The following is a 13537-nucleotide window of genomic DNA, read 5'->3' as shown; positions in this document are numbered from 1 at the left end:
GTTAAAACACGAAGGAGACATCCAAGTAGAGCTCTGAAGGGGAATGGTGTACATGAGTGTAAAGCTCAGGAGAGAGGTCTAGAGGGGTCTAGGCCAGAGATACAAATTCTGGGGTTTCTCTCTCTATATATATACACACACAGACACACACACACACACACACACACACACACATACATTTTAAGCAGATGGGATCACTTACCAAGATAAGGTCGGAGGCAAAAAGTTCAGACGGTAAGTAGGAGCCTACAAAGATGACTAAGGTCAGTAACCAAAGGAGAAGAATTGTACCAAAGACAGAGCCCTGAAGGAGACCTAGGAACCCCCCTCAGAGTAAAATACACTCGATCAGTGACTCTTACTAGATCAAGTCTAGCCCGTTCAGTCTGGCACAAAATAAACTACCATCAGCCCAACCGACCAGGCAATTCTATGTATTCCTTTTTCTGTCCATCTCGGCTTTACCAGGGTGACCTCTACTAAGTTTCCCAGAACACTGCTATTGTTTTATCCCTTCCTTGGTTGGGCTGTGCCATTCCTGCCTGGGAGCCCTCCCTCCACTCTTTATCTAGTCAAAGTCTACTGATACTTATATGGTAGTATAAGTATGGAAAATACTTATATGATGAAGTTTGACTTCTGAAATCTAGTATTTACTGCCTGTGCCAATTTCTCACACAGCATAAAATAATACCCTAAATTATTAGTTACATTAAATTAGTATGATCAATTTTCCAAGAAACATAAGATCTGGTTGCTTTTTAATGTTACACTGCTTAGTATACACTAGATGCTCAGTAAACATCTGTTAAACAAATGAGTAATAAATGGCACTCTGAAGCTATGAAATATAGGGAAGTAACAAAAGCAGATAAATCAACTTGGCATGCAATAGCTTAAAAAAGAATGAGTCATTGTGATCAAACCCTGGGCAGCTTGTAGGACACAAATGCATAAAGCCAAATCACATGCTTTTCATTCCTTTCTTTACTTAACAAGTATTTATCACGCACCTACTAGGTGTCAGGTACTCTTCTATTCATGAGAAACACACCCATAAATGAATCAGACAAAAAAGGTCTTTGCCCTAATGGAGCCGCGTTCTACTGGGAATACTGCTCATTGGCATATTTTGTTTTATGTAACCTCACCACGCCCATATATGTCATCCTTTCCCGTTTTTCTGACATGTACTATTTTTCAGTTTGAAAAGTTTCTGCCTGAACATTATTAATTCCTTCCTTTGGGATTTCCTCAAATATATAACACATTAAAAGAAAAAGGTTTTAGACATTTTGAGGCTTTCAAGTCATAAAAACAAAAGTGTACAATATATGACAATAGAAATATCTGGGGTACATTATAGATTAGCAGATCTTCAAAACAGCACAACTACTAGTTCATTAAAACTACCCACACACAGCATTAGAGATTTCACATAAACTTCAGAAAAGTAAACTTCACAGACTCGTAAAATCATTTAATGTCCTACCTCTCCTGCAGAAATATGGAGCTTTGAAATTCAATTCAATCATGCTATCAAAGTTCGCTTTTAAATTAAAAAATCAGAAATTAGATAAAAATTCCAAACTAAAAGAATGAGACCATTTTACATCTTATATGAATCTTGTATTTATTTTATAATGTAACGGAACCATGGTACTAACAATGTTGGTTTAAGTTGTGGGACTTTGAAGGTCATTCAATAAGAGGGAGGAGAGAGACAGTACCAGCTGCTCCTTTCTCTTTTCCTACGAATAAGCCAGGCAACCTTTTGAAACTGAAAGCTGAAAGAGGTAGCTTGTCAGCTGATTCCTTTGGAATCAATCAGATGTGGGTTCAAATTCCAGCTTTGCCATTTACAAATCATGACCTTGGGCAAATCGCAACTTTTCTGTGATTCAATTTTCTTTTTTGTGAGAAAGGAAATGAGATTTTTTTTTTTAAGGATAGTCACTAAAAAGAACTTCTAATTCATAAAATATGAAGCCATATAAAAGTGAGGGACCCACTATGCAGGCTGAACCATTCTAGCTGAAAGTCATTTCCTTTGAGCAGCCTTTTTTTTAAAAAAAACAAAACAAAACAAAAAAACCCCCAACATCTTCTCTTTCTCTACTTAGAAACTCAAAGATTCCTTAAATAATTCAAGTTTTCTTTACAATACATCCCATGGCAACTGCATTACAGTCTCAAGCAAGACAGATAGAATGTAACACACTTAGGAGTCAGGTGTTCCTGTACTGTCAGTGACAAACTACTAGGAATATTTAAATCCTGATCATCCCAAAGTCTAAATTAGTTCTTCCTAATAGTAAGCTAAAGACTTGATTAACAGCATTTAACAATCCCAGACCATTCGGCACCCCATCAATTCAATTCCCTAAATGAGACCCTTTTTCTTGAACAAAGAACATGTGGTATCTTTTCTGCATTTTCAAATGTTTCAGAAAAATCAAAGACCAAGAATTGAAAATTCCAGTGCCTGCAAGGACAGGCAAGTTTATTTGAAATTACTTAAATTTTAAGTAAACTGGTAAGAAAATAGGACACATTGGCCTGCAGCAAACTGGAGGGTGCAGCCCCTTCCTAGATCAGCCTGTTTTATAGTGCACAATGACGTTGTGTTAAAGGGGCACATTCACATGAGAGATGGCAATTATCGTGTCAATTTTCTGACAGATGGCAGTAATTTCTTGTTTAACAAAATCTGTAAATTACCACAATTTTCTGACAGATAAAAATAAAAACACTTGAGGAAGGAGCACCTTTTTCTAATACGTACAAAGATGCCATATGGGCTAGTCAGTGACTGTCCTGCTCCTGCCTAAGGGAATTTGGTCACTTCTGTGGGTCACCTTCAGCACCCATTTTAAATCCTCAGAACAGATCTCTAACAAATGCAGCTAGGTCAGATCTGCCCATTTGGCCCACGAAGCAGAGATGGTTGTCCTGGTGACAAATCCTCCAGCAAACTAAAACGATTCCTTAATTTTGTGTTTGGGGCCAATCTATAAATGGTTTAATTTCAGTGAGTTCTCTTTCTTTCCCATGGGGAGAAAAAAATCTGCCTACTCAAATTACTTGAACAGGTAATCTAATGGCTTTTATTTCACACTTAGTAATAAAAGGTTTAAAACCAAATACCCAGTTTGACTTATGCCCATTCATTCTTAAAATATATCCAGAATTGACAGGCTAGAAAAGATCAGAACAAGATAAAAAGTAGACACCTAAAGACAGACATTGCTAAGGGGAAAAAGTAAAAACAGGAGATGCCTGGATAATAAAGACAAACTTTCCATACTTCATAGTTTTGCCTAAGGTTAACCCTGTTGATTTTCAACTGTGAGTGAACAAAGAGAAACTGTGTGCTGAGGTATTTTTATCCTGCAAAGCTGTAAGGCTTTGTAGAAACACCATCACATGCCAATACTGCTTCTCAGGACTTATAATTTGAATTTTAAACAAAGCTAACTAAAAAAGAGTATCAATTCTGGAGATTCATTAACCAAGGTGTAACTATAAATCCTTAACTTTAAAATGCTCATCTTTGGTTGCTCTACTAGTGTTAACTGAACATAAAGCTGTTAGAATGAAGATGAACAAGATACAGTCCCTGACCTCAAGGGGCTCACAATCTAGCACAGACAGAAACAAAAGTAATAAAGGTAAAATAAAAAGCAAAATGTGAGTAATGGTTTATTTTAAAAAGTGTAGCTGGAGTTTGGTGGACATGGTACTTATTCTGTGTGAAGAGAAACGGTCAGGGAGATTTCCCATTTGAGCTGAATCTTTTTTTTTTTTTTTTTTTGAGATGGAGTCTCGCTCTGTCACCTAGGCTGGAGCGTGGCGGCGTGATCTCGGCTCACTGTAACCTCCACCTCCCAGGTTCAAGCAATTCTCTGCCTCAACCTCCCGAGTAGCTGGGATTACAGGTGGCCACCACCATGCCCAGCTAATTTTTCTATTTTTAGTAGAGACGGGGTTTCACTCTCTTGGCCAGGCTGGTCTTGAACTCCTGACCTCATGATTCACCTGCCTCGGCCTCCCAAAGTGCTGGGATTACAGGCGTGAGCCACTGCGCCCGGCCCATTTGAGCTGAATCTTAAAGCAACCAAGAGCACTGCAGACATTTAGGGACATGAAAGCACTTGATGCACTTGGGGAAGAGTGAAAATGGCTGGCTTTGATATGGTGCACACCTGAGTTAAAATGGCAGCAGAATAAGATGAGGTCAGACCCCCACAAGGAAATTCCTGTTCTATAGCCTTAAAAACAAAAACAAACTTTGGGCCGGCGCGGTGGTTCATGCCTGTAATCCCAGCACTTGGGGAGGCTGAAGCGGGTGGATCACTTGAGGTCAGGAGTTCGAGAGCAGCCTGGCCAACTTGGAGCAATCCTGTCCCCACTAAAAATGCAAAAAAATAGCCAGGCGTGGTGGCGCATGCTTATAATCCCAGCTACTCTGGAGGCTGAGGCAGGAGAACTGCTTGAACCCAGGGGCACAGAGGTTGCGGTGGGCTGAGATCACACGGCTGCACTCCAGCCTGGGTGACAGAGCAAGACTCTATCTCAAAAACAAAAAAACAAAAAAACAAACACAAGACTTTGATTAAAAAAGACGTACAGCCCCACATATTAAAAATCACACATTTGGGTATGTCAGGAGAGTCACTAACCACGGAACACAAGAGACCAGGCAGAAGAGATGGGGAATTCCAAAGAAAACAAGAGATGTTCAGGGTGAGACAACACTTAGCTACTGAAAAAACTCCTTCACTCCCCCTATCTTAAAGTGAAAATATCAGAGATCACAAGAAGGAAATATACATATATATGTATAACCTTTGAGTTTTTAAAATTATTCCAGTGCCTTCTTTTTTTTCCTCTTGAGACAGGGTCTCGCTCTGTTGCCCAGGAGGGAGTGCAGTGGTGCAACCTCAGCTCACTGCAGCCTTGACCTCCAGGCTCAAGCCATCCTCCCACCTCAGCGTGCACCACCATGCTTGGCTAATTTTTGTTGTTGTTGTTGTAGGGATGGTGTTTCTCCATGTTGCCCAGGCTGGTCTCAAACTCCTGGGCTCAAGACTCGGCCTCCCAAAGTGCCGGGATTACAAGTGTGAGCCACTGCACCAGGCCTCATTCTTTATACACATTCCCAAGAGCTTTTACAACCATTTGGAAGTCCTTGTTTCATCACAATAGTAAATCTTCAGGGGCAGTCTACAGCTCAAGGCTGTGAAAGAGACAGCTGCTATGGCTCTTCAGAGGAAAGAGGGTGATCTCTACCACTGAGTTTCCCTAAGGAGTCTTTCTTAAAACAAACAGTTTTAGTCTTTTTTTTTTTTTTTCAGACAGAGTCCCGCTCTGTCACCCAAGTTGGAGTGCAGTGGTGCGATGGCTCACTGCAACCTCTGCCTCCTGGGTTCTAGTGATTCTTCTGCCTCAGCCTCCCGAGTAGTTGGGATTACAGGCACCTGCCACTACATGTGGCTAATTTTACTGTATTTTTAGTAGGGACGGGTTTCACCATGTTGGCCAGGCTGGTCACAAACTCCTGACCTTAGGTGATCCACTCGCCTCAGCCTCCCAAAGTCCTGGGATTACTGGCATGAGCCATCACGCCCGGCTCAGTTTTAGTCTTTTAAAAAATTCTGGGTAAAACACCTTGCCTAGTTTTCTGTTATAGTTTTATTCCAAAGGTATTTTTATACTTTTATTACAACCATTTATAAAATGTTTTACATTATAAATTAGTGCATTTTTAATGGAGACATCCAGTGCCTGCTTTCATTCTCAAAAGTATCCTGTTTTCAATGATAAATTATATGATCATCCTATTTATAATTCAGCTTATACTTCTTGGAACAGCAATGTTTCTGATTTGGGGATATTTGCATTAAACTTAGCATCCTTAACATTTGAAGTCTGAAATGAGCACTTCTCAAAGCATTTCCTCTGAACATCATGCCAGTGCTCAAGTAGTTTTGGATTTTGAAATGATTTCAGATTTTTGGACTAAGGATATTCAACCTGTATCCCATTCAATATTTGAGCTAGTATTTGAATGTTTTATAATCATATGGGAACCTGTGTTTCTATAGGAAAAGGGTTTTCTTAGGTTTTTGGAAAAAATCCACAAACACTGGAATAAAAATAAAAACTTTTAAGACAAGTATTTTCAGATGAGTTAGTGACATAAACATACAGAAGTCAAAAAGCCATATAATTTCATATTTCTATGATTTTCCTGTAAGAAAATATGTTAGGATGATTGCCTTATATTTATGTTCCTTTATACTTAACAAAGTACAATATGAATTATAGAGTGGGCACATAAGCCACCATTCAAAGACTAGGGAAAAGCTCAAGAGGCTGAAATAAAAGTTACACTTAAAATAATCCAAATTAAATCAGTTTAATACATAAGACATGATGTGATATTAAGTATATTTATATTTACCAATTCAAAGTAATTTTTCTCCTAATATTCAGATTAATCCAAACTAATGTCAGATAAAGAAAAAGTAAGAGAAGTAGTAGAACACTTTTTTCTTCTCAATATGAAAAGTTAGGCTGTTAACAATTTTAAGACTAGCAAACAAAATCATTAGGTTTTTATTTAGTTAGTTTTAGATTTTCCTGGTGGCTAACTGGAGTCTTGCAGGATTTTTTATTATGTGAGGGGATCTGATGAAAGAAATCATTTCCTTCTTGGCCTGAATTTCATCGACTGAAGGTCATTTCTTGGGGTTAGTGTATGTATTTACTAGTATGAAAGTATGTATTTAATTTCCACCTTTATCTAAATGAATGACAGAATCTTACTAACTTACATTTGATGAATATGGTTATAATTCTCATAACATCTGGCTAATTTATCAGCCAAAATTTAACAGCAGAGAGCTGTAAGAATTACTAAAATTAAATTCCCACTAAAAGAAGACTAATCATTCTTAAAGATCATTATTTATAAATGTGAAATACACTTTGTGATAGTCATTTATGTTTCCAAGAATGTAGTTTAGCTGCTAGTTACTAAAATATAATACAGTAAAAACTCACTGATTAAAGAAAAGCGACTCATTGACTTAAGAATAGGTCTTTTTTGATGAAAAGCCTTTCTCTTCTAGTCCTCCATAAATAGAAGATTCATTTCTTTATATTTTGAAAAACAGATTTGTTGATGAAATGTTTTTATATTTATTTTGAAATCACTTTCTCCTTCTCAAAGCAAGAGACACGTGCACATGTGTGCACAGAAATATGCATATATACAAAACTGAAAAATAAAGTCCAGGTTTCAAGTAAGTGCAAATAAAAAAATTATTAATAAAGAAGCTGAATGCTGATGATTCTCATATTTCTGTACCTACCTTTGCCATTTCTATTTCAATCCAATAAATACTTTTGGATATTTACACAAAAAAAAAAGAAAGGAAGGAAAGGAGACAGGGAGACTAAGAGGGAAAGAAGAAAGAAAAATAAAACTCATAGTCTCTGCTCTCATGAAGTTTATAATGTTGTAGAGGATACAACTATGAATTCCCAAAACATTAAAGAAGAATAAACATTTAAATATGTGGGAATGCAGAAAAGAGGAACACAAGATCCTAAATGGGGTGGGGAATAGAAACTATAAGGAGGTTTTCCTGAGTAAGTGATGCTGGGTTGGTTTTAAAGGCTCAGAAAGATCTCCGTAGGAGGTAGATAAGAAATCCTAGGTAGAAGCTGGGGCCTCGTGGCTCATACCTGTAATCCCAGCACTTTGAGGGGCCGAGGCGGGTGGATCACAAGGTCAGGTGATTGAGATCATCCTGGCTAACACAGTGAAACCCCACCTCTACTAAAAATACAAAAAAATTAGCCGGGCGTGGTGGCGGGTGCCTGTAATCCCAGCTACTCGGGAGGCTGAGGCAGAAGAATGGTGTGAACTCAGGAGGCAGAGCTTGCAGTGAGCCGAGATGGCGCCACTGCACTCCAGCCTGGGCGACAGAGCGAGACTCTGTCTCAAAAAAATAATAAGAAGAAGAATAAGAATAAATAAATAAATAAATAAATAAAATTAGCCGGGCATGGTGGCTCACGCCTGTAACCCCAGCACATTGGGAGGCTGAGGCAGATGGATAACTTGAGGCCAGGAGTTGGAGACCAGCCTGGCCAAAAAGGTGAAACCCTGTCTCTACTAAAAACACAAAAATTAGCCAGGCGTGGTGGCACATGCCTGTACTTCCAGCTACTCAGGAGGCTGAGGTGGGAGAATCGCTTGGAGGTGGGAGGCGGAGGTTGTAGTGAGCCAAGATCGCACCACTGCACTCCAGCCTGGGCAACAGAGTAAGCCCCTGTCTCAACAACAAAAAAAAGAAACTACAAAAATTAGCCAGCCGTGCTGGAGGATGCCTGTAGTCCCAGCTACTTGGGAGACTGAGGCAGGAGAATCGTTTGAACCTGGGAGGCAGAGGCTGGAGTGAGCGGAGATCGCTCCACTGCACTTAAGCCTGGGAAACAGAGCAAGCAAGACTTGTCTCAAAAAAAAGAAAGAAAGAAAGAGAGAAAGAGAGAGAGAGAAAGTGAGAAAGAGAGAAAGAGAAAGAAAGAAAAGAAAGAAAGAAAGAAAGAAAGAAAGAAAGAAAGAAAGAAAGAAAGAAAGAAAGAAAGAAACAAGAAAGAAAGAAAGAAAGAAATCAATCCTAGGTAGAAGATGCAGCATTTAAGTAGCAAAGGCATAATATGGGCAAGTGCCAAGCATATGTGGGATAAGAACTTGTAGTGTGCTATAACTATATAATGCCTATGTAAAAGAGAATAGCTGAAAATAAAGACAAGTAAGACAAGAGCCAGATAATAAAAAAACTTGAATATGACTAAAAACTATGCAGTCAAAAGGAGGCCCTGAAAAATTGTGAGCATGTTTATGAAAAATCTAGGTATAGAATATCTCAGACTTACCAATTCTGTTCTCAAACACTTCTACTTTAATGTTACCTACATCTGAAAACTGCCTTTCCATATTACATTCAATAGCACTACCACGTTGCTATGCCTTTCCTCCACGACACTGTCTGTAAACAGATCCTTTAGGTAGTAGGGTAACTGTGTGTGTGCGTGCGCATATGTGGGGGTGTGGTGTGTGTGTGCGTGTGTGTGTGTGTTTCTTCAGGTTTAAAGACTAAACTATCTGGAATAAGAATAGTATCTTATGATTCTTTAAAATTTTGAGCCTGGGCTGGCGCAGTGGATTACGCCTGTAATCCCAGCACTTTGGGAGGCCGAGGTGGGCGGATCACCTGAGGTCAGGAGTTCAAGACCAACCTGACCAACATGGAGAAACCCGTCTCTCCTAAAAATACAAAATTGGCCGGGAATGGTGGCACATGCCTGGAATACCAGCTACTTGGGAGGCTGAGGCAGGAGCATCATTTGAACCCAGGAGGCGGAGGTTGCGGTGAGCTGAGATTGCACCATTGCACTCTAGCCTGGGCAACGAGAGCAAAACTCCGTCTCTCAAAAAAAAAAAAAAAATTTTTTTTTTTTGAGCTTGGCCAGGTATGGTGGCTCATGCCTATAATCCCAGCACTTTGGGAGGCTGAGGTAGGAGGATCACTTGAGCCTAGGAGTTTGAGATCAGCCTGGGCAACATAGTGAGATCCTGTCTCTAAAAATAAATAAATAAATAAGTAAATATTTAAAAATAATTTCAAACCCATGTTGTTCACAGTTTAAAAAAAAAAAAACAAAAAAAATTTTGAGCCTCACCTTAGTGATAATGTTGGGTAATTGTAAATAAAATAATTCATGACTTAAATTAGTTTGCTATTTTGATAATTTATACCTTGGTACCGTTCTTACAATTTTATGTATTTTCTGCTTCGAGTCTCTTATGTAAACTGCCAAATGGGATTAAATTATAATGGACACGGGGACTACAAAAACTTCCCTGTCCCTCTCCTCTCATCAGTGTAAACTTTCCTTGCAATGCACAGGACAGCAGGGAGCCAATCTGGGATATTCACAGCTGGGCCACAAGAGCCACCACCAACCAGAAGAATCTCCCATTCCACAACCAAAGAAGTCTGAAGTAAGTTCATTAAGTCCTATTGGCTCTACCTCCAGCTATCCTCAAAAGAGACTCTCATCTCCCTTCTGACTAGAACCACCTTGTTTAGTCATTCAGACATTTTGAACCTGGATTATTATATCTGCTTCAAGCTTATCTCCCAGCTTCTAATCTTTATACTATGGCCAGAATGATCTATCTAAAATACAAATCCCTTTAGATTCCACCCAGCTTAAAATTTTTCCATATCTCCTTAATAGTTATAGCACACTGTCCAAATTTCTTACCATAGTATCTAAGACTCTTTAACATTTTAAACCTCATCTTGTGCCATTCATTCACTCACCAAATATTTACTGACTAGCTACTATGTGGAATGAACTATTGTAGACAAATGTGTGTATGTAAATGAGTGAGCCAAATCGACATGCACAAAAAATAAAGTCAAAAAAGAAAAAAACAAACTTTGTTTTCATGGGAACTTATATTGCAGGAGGGAAAACGTGGCAATAAATATAAGTAAACTACATAGTTTAGTAGGAGGTGACGTGTGCTATGAAGAAGATACAAGTACAGAAAGAGGTAGGGTAGTCAAGGTAGGCCTCATGAAAAAGTGGTATTTTGAGAAGAGACATGAAAGGGGTGAGGCGGCAAGCCATGCATTTATCTGGAGAAAGGCTGTTCCAGGCAAAAAAGAATGTCTGTGCAAAGGCTGCAGTGTGGATGTGTGCCTGGAGGGCTCATGGATTGTTAGGAGACAGGTGTGGTTGGAGCAGAATGAGTGGAGGGGAGGGAAGAAAAAGATGAGGATGGCAAGAAGGTGTAGACAGTCGTAGGATGATCACATAGGACCCTGTAGATCATTATTAAGGACTTAGATTTTATTCTGAGTAATATAGGAAGCACTGCAAGTGACACTTGAAAAGACGAATGGCATGATCTGACTTAGATTTTAAAAGAACTTCCCTGGCTACTGTGCTGAGAAGAGACTACAGTGGGGCAAGGGTGGAAGCAGGAACTCTGGTAGGAGGCTACTGCAGTAATCCAGGTAAGAAATAATGGCAGTTCATGGGGGTGATCAGACTATGGATGTGTAACATTTTGAAGGAACAGTCAACAAGATTCTTCTGACACATTGGATGTGGGGTGTGAGAGGAGTCAAGAACTAAGACTAAACCAAGGTTTAACTAAAAACCAATGGTTTTGGACTGAAAAAATGAGAGGACAGAGTTGGTATTAACTGAGACAAGAAAAGTGCTAGTAGAGCGGGTTTTGCGGGAAAGATCTGGAGTTCAGTTTTTTACATATTTGAAATGTCTATCAGACATTCAACCCGGCTTTTGTATGTATGTTTGATGTTGAAGAAAGAGGTCTGGGCTGGAGCTTCTGCCATCCTCTCAAACAATTCCTCCATTCCAGGCTTACAGAACCACACACAGGTCCCTAAAGTCTTCCCCATGTCTTTGTGCATGTCTATTTTGAATGTTCTTACCCCATCTCTTTCTCCACTTGGTCAAAAAAAGCTGTCTTCAAGACTTATGTCATCATCTACTTCATGAAACTCACATGATCCTCCTGAACCACTTGTTTCTTTTTCTAAGTCACTTAAGTAAAGATTAAAATACAGTCATGCATGGCTTAACAATGGGGATACCTCATGAGAAATACATTGTTAGGCAATTTCACTGTTGTGCAAACATTATAGAGTGTACTTATACAAACCTAGATGGTATACTCTGCTACACATTACTGTAATGAATACTGTAGGCAACTGTAACACAATTTTAAGTATTTGTGTATCTAAACACAGAAAAGCAACAGAAAAAATACAGTACTGTAATCTTATGAGACCACCAAATGTCCTTATATAGTGCATGACTATGTAACAGCTGATCTTTCAGCATACTTGAAAGGCTAAACAATTTTCACTTCTTTTTTGGTAGGAAAAAAGCAGCCATTTTATAAACACAGCAGGTGACCTGCCTGATCTCATCATCAGAAATCTTTAGAACCCTTTAAAGAAAATTACGGCCACAGAAAAAGATCTTGGTAAGCAGCTTGGTAACCAGATTTTGCATTTTTTCAATTTCAGTAGTTATATGAAGAGATAAATTTTCAAAAAGACTTCAAAAATTTACTACTATACAATAAGTTTTATAAGCTAAAAACAATGAAAGAAACATCTTCTGCCTGTTTTCCAAAGCTATTTTCTGTTATAAATATTTTTCATTTTGATTGTCATTCTTTTATTTGCCCCAAGGACACATTTAAATTAGAGGAATTATTTGACAAGAGAACATGTCTATGTCATTCTCAGGAGACAGTCTAATCTAATTGACAAAAGAAGGAAACTTTTAAAGATGATGCAAAATTTTGAGATGATCCAGCTCAACTGGCCTCTTATGTAGATGAGAATGCTGATATCCAACAGGCCACTACCACTACTTCAGCAGTGTCTTCTCCACTACCGATTCAGTGTACCTACAATCTGCGACAATGGAAGGTCCACGAACGCAGAGATTTTTGCCTGCTTTGTTTACAGCTATTTCTCTCACTTCTAAGAAAGCACCTGGCAGACAGTAAGTACTGAATGAATGAACAAAAAAAGTATAATTCTAAATCACATGGGGCTAAAACACATTAAAAATAAACTATGAAACAGGTATAATATATTTCCTCAGGGCTTAAAAAATTGCTGACTCTTTGAACGTCATAAAATTTGGGGTATCAAGAATTTACAATCAGCATTTTTAAATACTAATTACAAAATGTTAACCACATAAAAATTTAGGGGGCAGGGGAAGATCCTGAAACAAACTCTCTAACACAGTATATATGTTTATAAAAATTTCTCTATAGATCAAGAGAATAGGACGATATTCTGGCAACTACACTTGCTTTATACAGTACAATTTTTTTTTTTTTTTTGAGACAAGGTCTCACTGGGTCACCTAGGCTGGAGTGCAGTGGCATGCTCTCAGCTCACTGCAGCCTTCACTTCCCAGGCCCAAGCAATCCTCACACCTCAGCCACGCCCAGCTAATTTTTCTATCTTTTTGTAGAGATAGGATATCACCATGTTGCCCAGGTTGGTCTCAAACTCCTGGGCTTGAATGGTCCACCTACCTCAGCCTCCCAAAGTGCTGGGATTACAGGCATGTGCCACCATGCCTGGCCCAGTTACAGTATTTCGGATACATATTTATTATGGAAAAATTACAGCCCTGGAAAATAAAATATTACAAAGATCTTATACATGTCTTTAAAGAATCAAAATTTATAAAGACAACTAGAAAATGTAGTTTAAAAACTTTGATTCCAGGATGTATTAACAAAGTAGCTTAAAATACCTCAAATAAACAGCCCAGATACTGAAATTTCTTTAGTGCCAAAGAAACTCTTACTTGCTTTTAAAACCAAACAGCTTTTGAAGCAAACACTCAACAATAACCACAGTTTTAATGCAGTCAATAGGCG

General features: G+C 38.7%; 1 protein-coding gene and 1 long non-coding RNA gene across 4 annotated transcripts in view; one reads left to right on the top strand and one right to left on the bottom strand.

The window, feature by feature from the left end:
- GTF2F2 (general transcription factor IIF subunit 2) overlaps window positions 1–13537 on the bottom strand; it is a 164384-nt gene that overhangs the window by 63782 nt on the left and 87065 nt on the right. The gene's annotated exons all lie outside the window — the stretch shown is intronic.
- Window positions 9126–12632, top strand: LOC124903168 (uncharacterized). Its single transcript, XR_007063780.1, has 3 exons — window positions 9126–10081; window positions 12004–12109; window positions 12378–12632. It is a non-coding gene; the product is annotated as an uncharacterized LOC124903168 (long non-coding RNA).

Source organism: Homo sapiens, chromosome 13 (genome assembly GCF_000001405.40).
Source record: "Homo sapiens chromosome 13, GRCh38.p14 Primary Assembly".
Lineage (NCBI taxonomy): Eukaryota > Metazoa > Chordata > Mammalia > Primates > Hominidae > Homo > Homo sapiens.
This window is presented reverse-complemented; position numbering and strand designations above follow the sequence as displayed.